The following is an 11338-nucleotide window of genomic DNA, read 5'->3' as shown; positions in this document are numbered from 1 at the left end:
TACATGTTTGAGAGCCTTATATTTGGGAGTTTTGTGTTGTATTTTTTTTTTCCTTACAGTGCTAGATTCTTTCCCTTAATTCCACACAGAACCCATCGCTACAATATGTGAGCAGATGAAACCCTGATTAGTCCCAGAATGCTACGAAGGGGAAGAGGAGGACGTTTATTAGAGTATGCTGAGCTGCTGTGGAATGACAGAAGTAAGTCCTGCTCTTTTTCTGGGGCTGTGAGACATTTCAAAAACAGCCATGCAGACCCCTCCCATAGACGACATGAATGAATTAAGAGTCTATATAGGACCTGCTACAGGCGGCTTTCACAATTCCACTTAAACACCTGTGAGCAAAACAAACAGGGCTAACATATTCCTCACTCCACTCAGCAACTGAGACACCATGACTGCAAAGGCAGGGGCGCGGTTTGAAGTTTAATGCCTGCTTGGCATTTCAGCCATCATCTCTAGGGGTATGAGAAACTCGAGATGGTTTCCTTGTTTTATTAATGTTCTTATTTGGAACTTACTGGCCCTTTCCCCAGATACATGTACTTACACAGTAATATTAATAATTTAAATTAATTTGAATTTGTAAAAATGACGCCTTGTACTGAAGAAATGTAGCTTTAAAGGGTATATGATATAGTAGAAAGTCCTTAGGGGGATATATTTTTTTAAAGGAGATTCAACATTGGTCTGTTTATAGCTCATTCTTAAATTGATGCTTCTAAAATGTATGAAAATATACCTATTTATTTTTTCCTGTCAGCTCAAAAAGTCTCTTTGCAGTTAGGCTTCCCCTGATCGTGCTCGGTAAAGTCTTTCTTCTTCAGCATCGAACCACTGTAGGATTTCCCACCACAGTCCTCCTGTGCGTAGCAAGTTAATTTTGATACCAGCTATGAGCACGTTTCTGACAGCAGGTAGGTTTCTTGTCTCCCTAAAAACAGCATCGCTATTCTCTGTACTCTGGGAGACACTTTTCTTTTTGCAAGGATACCTTGGGAAAGACCCGCCTAATGACAAAAGCACGGGACTTCTTGTTACACCAGGGGTTCATTGGACTGATAACCTTAAAAGTCTTTCGGATCTCAGAGATGGAATCTTTTTGCAAGTTACACTGTGTGATTTCAACTCAAAATGTTTATTTCCTGCCAAGAATCAAGTTGCAGATAATTCTCTTACAGCTTTTTTGAAGAAAACAAAAACAAACTGTAGAACTATGATGCACTCCAAGTGCCATATATCTATTTTATTCTTCAGGAAATTATATTTTTCTTTTACAAGAGCACAACAGGAACCAAAGTAAAAGAGTAATAGATACAGCACTCAGGATAAATCATATCTTTAAAATAATAATAAAAAAATTTACACCTTGTCCTATATCCTGTTAGTATTTTCATAATATGGCCATGATTGAAAAAACAAAAAGCAAGCATCTACAATTTTTTTTGATAAAGACTTTTTATGCCAGGAATGGATTAATTACCAACAAAATTTATACTAATCAGGCTGATGTCAATCTATTTTTGTAATGTATCATTAACAAATTTATTTTGGAAAAGATAAAAATATTGCCCCTTGATAATAAATCTTTTTTTCCTTTGATGCAAACAGCTAGAACACCTTTTTCTTTTTCTTTTTGATATTCTAAGACAAAAAAATGGTTAATCTTCAGATTAATAAATTAGGTCATTATAATAATAAATTAATTTTTTTTAAAGTTCAGCAACCTCTGTCCAAGTATTTACAACAATACTTGAAAGTTCCTTTACAAAACAGAACACATTTTCTTTTCACGTTAAGCATACTGGGTATCTGTGTCTTTCACAACAAGCATTTTTAAAAGAAAACTCAATGCACAAATGGGTTAATTAGTATAAAAGTGCTAAGGGCTGTTTGAAAAGTTACCACTATAGTATACAGTCAGTTATATTTGAGGCATACTACAACAAACTTCCAGCTTATTGTGGACAATATTCCAGTAGTTGTTTCAAACCATTGTTTGAAAAAAAAAAAAAAAAAATCCAGGAGCTGATTAGTGATGCAGATAAGAACTGCCATCAATGTCTCTGGCCAGTGAGCAAATTGAAAACCAACTGAAAGCAAATCCAAATGAGGAAGATTTTAATAAAGGAATACCCTTCTCCATAGCAGGTGCAATGCTGACTGCTCAAGGCGTGCGTGCGCGCGCACACACACACACACACACACACACATACATACTCTCACACACACATCTTTCCAATTAAACTGCAGGTAGAATGAGATTTTGTGTTATTCAAAAAATTTGTAAGTGATCAAAAGCACTGCTATGGAATGCCTGTTTATCTGCCTTTGTTCTGGTTAAAATCTCATAAAAATACATTCAACAGGAAAACATAAATTGTATGTGTATAAATATATATGTATATATATATATTATATACACATGCACACAAATACTTTTGTTTTTTGAAGCATAAGATAGTTACATAAATACTCCTATAATTGCTAAAGTTTAAAGAGGCATCATTTTTTTTGAGCTTCAACAAAGGTGCTTGAATAATATACAATTAAAATGAAGTAGTTTCTATTTTGTAGAATCAGTATATAATAAGGAAAAAGAATCCCCAAACAGTCTTTTTAAAAAAAGTTTCTTCTTAAGCTAGAGCTTCAACAAAAACTATGAACAACCAACAATATAACAGAACAAAGCAACAACAAACAGTGAAATATAGCCCCTGGAAATGCCTGGTGTTCGTCACCCTCTCCCTCCTCTTCCTGTCACGTTGTAAAAAAAAAAAAGCTCCAGTGCTCACATCAAGAAATGACTTAGATCTTGTTCATGTGCTGACTCTGCTAGGAACTGGCTGATTGATTGGCTTGGAAGAAAATAAAAGCAGCAAAAAGTGTAACTGTATATATCCTTAATAACCCGCTTTAGAGAAATGCCGCTATCGCATTTCTCTGGCTTCCTCACTGCCTACTGCAGTTGTGACTGTATAGAAAAGAAACTTGTGGCTTTAGACCTGGGATGGCTGTCAAAGGGTTCTGATGTGCTCGTCTGGTAGTTCTAAGGTGGTTATGGCAGCTGGGTCGCAAGGCCTTTTTTGTTTCCTGCTCATTCAGGCCTGAGCTTTGCAGCAACCAGTGCAGTCTTCAGAGCAATAGGAAAAAAATAACCTCTGGGCCACTGAACTGCTTTTATGTTACCAGGTTTCTCCCCGAGCCAAGCTGACCAATTTTTCTTCCCAACACCACCCTCCCACCCATTTCCCCATCCAAACTCACTGTCCCCACCCCAAATATCTCTACAGCTATCTTACAGGCAAATATATCTTAGCAACTTTAAAAACTTTGGTTCTAAGAAAACACTTGGTCAGTTATCTTGAGGAAAAGTGGGAATGCTTGTTCTGCACATTGCTGTAGACAGAGCCCATCCCAGTAAGGTCTTAGCGCTGTACATCAAGTCACAATCCAATACAATCCACTAAGCAAGTGCACAAATTCTAGTTTACTTTTTAGAGCAGATTTAGTCGTCTTCCGTCTTTTGAAACCTCATCCTAGTTGCCTTTCTTCACACTGTTTGGTAGAAATTGTCTGCCTGTAGATGGTTCTGTTTTTGCATGCTGTAGAAGCCACTGAATCTTGCATCTGGTTCTGCAATTCTTAGCATTCTCTGGGAACTGTCCACCTGGACTCTGGTTCCTTTCTTGCAGTCCACAGATACTAGCTGATTATTTAAGGAAGAAGGCTATTTAATGAGAGGAGGAATAAAACCACAAAAAATTAGTTGCTTTACATTATCTCAAATGAACAGAAATTTAGTACCTAACTCAGGTGAGATAACAGTTTCACAATTCATTGATTGATAGCCTGTATGCAGATTATCACATCTTGTTCTAGTACCAACTATACTTTTATGAGGGACACTGACAAACTGTATTTTAAGGTGAAATGTCAAGAAACTGTCAAATAGGGAGATGAAGGAACTGAAAAAAAAAAAAAAAAGACTGGTGAAATGATTTCAAATCCTTGAAGTGCAGACCTTGTGTTTCAAGGGGGCTGAAGAATGAGTGGAAGGTAGGCAGATTTTAAAAACAAAGGGATGACTTCTAACCACTCAGACTGTACAACACTATCATAGGCTGGGCCAGCCTGTGTGTTGCTAGTCACTCCATACACTTTATGAGCGGGTCTGTTTCCCAGCTTTGGACACTGGCAACTGTATCCTGACCCAGCACAGAGGCTGTGCCCAATGTACATTTGTTCAAAGAAAAATCGGAGGCAGGATAACCGCAGGACAGAATTTTTACATGGAAGGGTTAACCAGATGGTAAATTACATTACATAATTGTTCAGGCTGTTTCCAATTCTTAAGGTTTATGATTAAAATAAACCAACTCAAGGCAAAAGGTAGAATTAGAGTTGGAAGGGATTATGATTTATTTCCCTTAATTAATACAGTTTTTTCTTGTCTTTCAAAATAGGCAGATTTAGAGGCCCTTTATGTTTGTACTGAAAACAAACATACATCTTTTCTCCCTTAGTGTGAAATCTGCCTCTCCCTACCTTGTCTACTATTACTTTCCACCACCTCTTCATCTTTTGCGACCTTTCCACTTGGTGCTTGCCTTTGGTGCACTGACCTGTTCCTTTTGCCTTTTGTATACCCTCATGATCTTCCAGCCCTCTCCTGAGTATTATCTCCATCCCTTTGGGACTTTTTTTCTCTCCCAATTCTAAGTTGACTGATGACTAAGAAATGCCAGGTGATCACGTTTTAATGTCTAATATAAACAATGATTTAGGAATAAATCCAGGAGTATTTGTTCATTTGAAAACTTCAGAGTACATCGAGAAAACTGGATCCATGTAAGGTTAGGCTTCATTAACCAATGGATAATGGATAATTCACCTTGTGATCAGTCCAGCCCTGGGCAAGTACTATGTATTTGATTCATACTATAGCCTGGTATGGATTTGAGGCTATGAAGAGCAAAGTAAAAACTTCACTGGTTAAGACACAAGGTTTCAAGCAATTTCAATATGAGTGTAAGTTTTCCTAGATTCATCATTCAAGAGACTAACTTTTGCAAGACAGTACCTTAGTTGGTGTTCGATACCAGCAAAGCAGTGGTATCCACTGTTTCTTCTGATTGATGAATAGGAATGCTATTATAATAGAGAGGCATATAATTATGGGAACCACAACTGAGGCAATGGAGTCCAGTGAAGAATCTTCACTTGGGTGCAGCCTGTTATCTCTGTAATCTACCTGGAGGTGACCCATATCTAGGAGAAAAAAAATTATAAGCATTTATTACCTAAACCAGAATTGTTAAGGATTATTTTAATGACATTGCAAATAGAGATCAGCAACTTGGTTTTATTGCTTCCCAGTTTTTTGAGGCTAAAAATGTGATTAAAATCTAATGTTGATCCAAAGAGCTCTTAGTAGAGAGCAGAGCGCTTAGGGATGAATGTTAAAAAAAAAAAAAAAAAAAAAAAAAAATCAGAGTGAGAATCTTAATAATTGGGTAAGATGATGCCGGCTCTAGCTAATCAAGGAAATAAGAAGGTGCTTAGGTAGATTTTGAAAAAGTGAATTAGACCATGAAAATATTTTGATTACTGTTAACATACATGGTCTTCTCAGATTTCGAAGGAGAAACATTAGCTGATTTATTGGCAAACAGGAGACTAGAACAAAGTATGTTCTTTTACTATTAATTAATTAGTGTTAATAGCTAAGACTAATTAGATTAAAACTAATCAATCAGGAAGTTGGTCTTTTGGTTGATACTCTGGTTCACTGAACTCTAAGCAATATTGTCTTACTTTTCATAAACTTGTTGAAAATCTTGCTTAGGCCTATTAGATCATTTTTCTGCCTTAATGAATTATATCGCATAGGTGACTACATTTAGTTTTGCACTTATGAATGATGACCTTTATGTTCTTTTAAAATATCTCTCTTACAATGAATGTTGCAGACAAAAATAAGGTTAAACACATACCAATAGGGGGCACTCCCTAAAGTTTCCTTATTTTTATATTCTGTTTTGTTTCAAATAAATCATTGTAGTCAGGTTTTCTAAATGCATTAAAAATCAATTTAGTTAAAGACACATGACACACAGTATCAAAAGGAGTTACTCCTAAATTGTTCTGGAAATTCAGCTCATGAAGTGACAGAGCTTTGTGGTATGTAACACTGTGGTTTAAAACTCAGATTTTAAATGATATGCTTCTGTGTGTGTTCTGGAGGGGTGGTGGGAGCAGGGAGGAATGGGAGGTAGAAAACATTCCTAATCATTTTAGCCAGTGCAGATGGCAATAAAACTTTATAGAAACATATTTTCCAGCATCAAGAAAAATGTCAAAGAGTAACATTTTATTGATGAATTCAGATTTTAAATATACAATGAATAAAAGAATGAATTTTACTTTCCCATATTCCAAATCAAATAGAAAGCAGTTTTAGGAATATGTGTCATACAAGAAGAATAAGATATAAATTAAGGAAGGTCTTGGTGAAAGAAAAATGAAGCTGCAAGTGAGGTCTGTTTACAAAATTCAGTCTTCCAGTTCTGTTTCTGTGCTAAAACCAAGCCATCAAAGTTAGCTTTGAGCTTTGTAGCAGCCAAAGCCAAAAACGGAAACAACTATCAGTCTTTAATACGATTCACAATGTCTTTTAGGTTAAAACAAATCAGTTGCCTAGGAGAAGCATACATTTTCTTGCTATTGATGCATGAGAAAATTTCTCTTTAGGGGCTTTATAACATAGATACTATGCAATGCACAGGTCTTCAGTCATAAGAATAGTCGTACTTACAGTATGTTGAAGTCTAGCCTCTAGAACAGGGTCTGGCATACAGCAGGCACTAATATTTACTGACTGAATGAATGTAAGCATAATGCTAAAGCACACTCAGAACAATTATACAGAGAGCCAAAAACACTAGGTCCAGGAATTTGACTTTCTGGTCATCTGGTTTGATCCAAGCATAACGTTTAGAATATCTAGAGTAACAGACAATTAATCTCTCTCAAGCAATGAATATTGCTTCTTCCAAAAGAAATATAAGTTATATAGCAATGATTTGGAAAATATGGTTGGAGGACACAGGAGGCAGTACTGAGTCACGGCTAAGAGCAAGTTTATACTACTGATCAAGAAGAGGTCTACTTTTATAGAAAAGGAAATAGTGACAGCTATTGGGAGACAAAATAACATCTTTATTACGCACAGACTGAAAGGATAGAGCAAGATAAAAAGGCATGGAGTAAACCTGGTGACTAGAAAAATCAACATAGGTGATAAGTTTAGCTCACATGAAGTGAAAACTGCCCAGAAGTAGAGGGTAACCTAATGTACAAATGCTCAGTGCGGAATCTACAAGAGACAGTGACTAATTCATGATTACTCTCCTTACAAAGTTTATATATACATACGTTTGAGAGATGGCTTAGAAGTTCCAGATACCAGGCTCTTATGACTAGGAACATATTTATTTCCATTTATTTCCGTCATCACAAAGTCTCTGAGCACAGAGGGCCAGGAAGGAGGCATTTAATCCAGTTACCTGCTGACTTATTTTATCAATGTGTGGTGTAAATATGTTTCAGCCAAGCAGGTCTGCCCGGGAATAGTTATTTGAATTTACTTCAGCAAGTCATTTTAAAAGTTACTCATAGGAAATTTTAAAAATTAGAAAACACCTAAGTAGACCACATAGAAAACTAGCAGATCTCAGCTGCCTTCAATGCTTACCTCTAGGGAGATGGACGATATCATTTTCACTAGGCGTGGGCCACAGGGGAACCTCCAGGTCAACCTCTCCTCGATGGTTTGTCTTCTCAATGGGTATATTGGTTGGTTCTGGGACATACATTTCTAAAAGAAGGGAACATTTTTCCTAAGAGATGATGAAGCTGCTGTATTGTTGGCTTTTGTATTCTCAATCCAAATGGTGCACTCAATTCAAGACCACATTTCCTGGGACATGAAAGATGCAGTTTCTGCCATTTACATCATTCATCACTCATGCTAGAGAATCACGAGCTTTGCAGTGAGGAGAAACATGTCTTATAACATTTAAAAGATGAAAGAATTCTCTACTCCACCAGGGTCAAAAACTGCTTTTTCACGTCAAATGGTGTTGGTTTTATAATTTTATGGAAACTGAAGGGGACTAGCTGAAGTTATTTATTACTTTCCAGCAGCTAATAAATGTTGGTGTTTAATAGCTGCTGCTCTTTAATATGGGGGTATTGAATAACTTACATAAAATATGTTAGCAAAACTTGAAAAAGTTAAAGCACTGTCCACTTCTTATGGACTTCTTGGCCATTTCCTCTCCTTTCTCTTCCCCTAAATGGGAATGGACTGTAGGTAGACCTCATGAGTATAAGTCTCAGATGTCCATTATGTTACCACTGGAACCATTTAGATTAGAAGCTGATCTTCAGTAAATATATTTACATTATCCAGTTTGATCAGATAGGTATTATACTACAACATAAAACAAACAGAAGAATATTATTTATCTCAAATATCAGGTCTTTTTAAAAAAAAAAAAAATCAGAACTTTTCTCAGCTCCTACAAATATTTCTTTGTATTTATACTTCATCCAGCTAACGACAACTAGCCCCACATTTTAAAGCAATTAATTCTTCAGAACCTGTTTTCAAAATGTGACAATAAAAGTTTGTGTCATGCACGTATTTCCTTTCGGGCAGATCCTGCCATATTATTCACTGATTTTTTTATAAAGCAATTACTCAACACGTAGGATCCTAAATACTCACCATAGCCTAATTTAGACCAACATAAAATATACAGTATAAGTATATAAATTAAAATAGGATTAATAATCCCCTCTGCTCAGAGTGATTGTTTTCTGTCTCAAAGTTAACAGGCTTTTGAGAAGTAAACCTTAAGATGACTTTGAGAGAAGAGGAAAGTGATAGAGAAGAGAGTACTTGCTAAGCTTCCCCCATGAGTTAACTGGGTACCCAGCCAGGGAAAGAAACCCAGAGAGGTTAAGTTAAATCGCTCAAAATCATGCATCTAGTAAGTGGTAGAGCTGGGATTCAAATGCAGTTCTGTGATTCCAAAGCCCAAGTTATCTTGTTGCCTCCAAGAATAGTCTTCTGCTTTCTTAGTTATATTATAAAACCTTTAAACATAAAAAGAACTGGGAACAATTATAGTTTCTACAGGTTCAGTGCATCCCTGCAAACTCGAGAATTAAAAATAGAAGTTACTGAAAACATTACCATTTGCAGGTGCAGGGGCCTGAGCACAAACCAGTGACTCTCAAATTTTTAAAAATCATATCAGAATTACCCAAAGAGCTTAGAAAATGTGCTGACTCTCACAGGTCCTGATTCGGTAGGTCTGGACTAGGTGATTCCGGGAGGTGTGTGCAGGGGGATGGTATTTAATGCACCCACTGAAAAACTCTCATGTGTGGTATGAATTTCCTGGGTGAATATGGGCAGAAAAGCCATGTCGCCATTTACTTGACACCTTTCAGTGCCACACACACCCTTCTGCCCCTCCCCTGCCTAGTCCAGGGCTTCACACTGAGCCTTCCTATGACAATAGGGGCCGAACTGCCACTGGTTTCTGAGGCCTCAGTGTAAAGGGCAAATGCGACACCAATTCCAACAAACCTGTAAATGTCAATGGCTAAGTAGTAAAAGTTTCTGCAGAGGCCCCAGAGCTGGGATTGATTCAGTTCCACCTCAGGTTTTTTCCTGAGTGAGAGGGAGAGACGTAACTTTGGAATTCTTTTGCCTTGACCCTGCATATGGGTAGATTTCCGGTGAAACTCCACCAAGCTGAGGCATGACAGTGAGTCCTCTTCCCACAGGGGCTCTACTTGGAAACAGCAGGGAAAGTTAGAAGGATCTGTCTATGGTGAAGGAGGATGTCTTCTTCAGTGATTAATTGTATTACCATTTGTTCAACAAATATTTCCTGAGCACTTCCTACATGGCAGGCACTGGTTTTGGGCATACAGTTTTGAGTGAGACCAATCCTGGCCCCCATGGGTCTCTCCTGATGAGTGATGCCTGACAGCCACTTCTTACTTCCAGCAGCTCATAACCTGTCCTGTGTATTAGCTCACTCCACCACTCAGTTCAGCTCTGATTAAAATCCACCCACACCTCCTTCTTTATCACAGAACACGCACAGCTCCAGTTCACAGTCCTCAAGTCCAAGGGAAGAGAGTCATTTCCCTTTAATTTGAACATAAAAGGGAAGCTGCCTCTGAGCAGTTTTGCCAAAAAGAACAATTCTTTCAGTTAAAAAACTGCTTGTTGAAACAAAAAGAAGTGGGAATGCTATTTGTTTCCACGCCTAGACCCAGGCCGCCTTCTATGGCCAAAGACCGCCTTCAACCCAAGACTCTAAAATATAACCCTTCTGGTATTTACTAGAAGAGCCCTTTACAGCTGTTGGCATTACAGATGGACAGTGCCAGGGAGATTTACACAAAGCTACATCCAGCCCTACCACGAAGATCACGGGCACACGGTCACAATCGCTCCTGTGCTCATACTTGACCTGCGCTTTGGAGGAACTCAAGATAATTTACTGGGGATATATTTTACTTTCAGAGGCATCTGGTCATCTCTAAGAGTTGCCTTCCTTAAAATGTCCTCTTCTGGAATACGGGGCGAGGTGCTTGGTGCTTACAAGCTGAGGTCAGCATTTTTTTGGGAGATGGAACCTGAGGTCAATTTAGGAGCAGGGGTCTCATCCTCTGCTAACCAGCTCCATGACTTCGGATAACCCTCTTACCTTTCCTGAGCCTCAGTTTCTTCTGTAAAGAGACAGGTGCTAATCACCTAACAGCTCATAGGTTCTGTACTCATATCCAAAGATGGTAAAGGTGAAACTGTTTTGTAAAGAAAGAGGATATTCAGAATGTTAGTTGCTATGTCTAAAGGAAGAAGCAAGGTTCTTGTTTGCTGGACAGACCGGGAAGTGCTCCCACACCATCATTTCTGAGATGGTATAATCCTCACAGCATTTCTGGGAGGTGGCATGTGCTATCCAGATGAGAAATGGAAGCGTGAAACTTTGGTGGTGAGTCTTGACTAAGATCACACAATGAACCGATGCAAGAATGGGACAGGAATACAGCCTTCCTGGCAGCCCATACTGGATCAAACAGAAGGTGGCAAAAGCTCAACTGATTGCAGTATTTGCTTAAAGATAGAAAAATGTTTCATCAGGAATACAGCAGATGCAGAAAGGAGAGTTAACAGAAATTAAATTTCAACCCAATAGTAAATCTTAACTGAGAAGTCACTGGAGAAATCTCTAATGATGAA

The 11338-nt window shown here is 37.9% G+C and overlaps 1 protein-coding gene across 14 annotated transcripts in view; it reads right to left on the bottom strand.

The window, feature by feature from the left end:
- Positions 1-1122: 1122 nt before the first annotated feature.
- The window catches only part of CRIM1 (cysteine rich transmembrane BMP regulator 1), a 195358-nt gene continuing 185142 nt past the window's right edge, over positions 1123-11338 (bottom strand). For 13 of the 14 annotated variants that reach the window (XM_011532898.4, XM_011532899.4, XM_011532901.4 and 10 more), the window contains 3 exons: positions 7760-7882; positions 5087-5274; positions 1123-3733 (listed from right to left, as the gene is read on the bottom strand). In XM_011532898.4, coding sequence (XP_011531200.1) covers positions 3557-3733; positions 5087-5274; positions 7760-7882 — 488 coding nt within the window. In that variant the 3' untranslated portion in view covers positions 1123-3556. Of the gene's footprint in view, positions 3734-5086; positions 5275-7759; positions 7883-8272; positions 8501-11338 lie in introns of those variants that run through there. The other variant, XR_007076383.1, reaches the window with a different exon arrangement.

This window comes from Homo sapiens, chromosome 2 (genome assembly GCF_000001405.40).
Source record: "Homo sapiens chromosome 2, GRCh38.p14 Primary Assembly".
Lineage (NCBI taxonomy): Eukaryota > Metazoa > Chordata > Mammalia > Primates > Hominidae > Homo > Homo sapiens.
The sequence above is the reverse complement of the archived record's forward strand: the minus strand, read 5'-3'. Positions and strand labels throughout refer to the sequence as shown.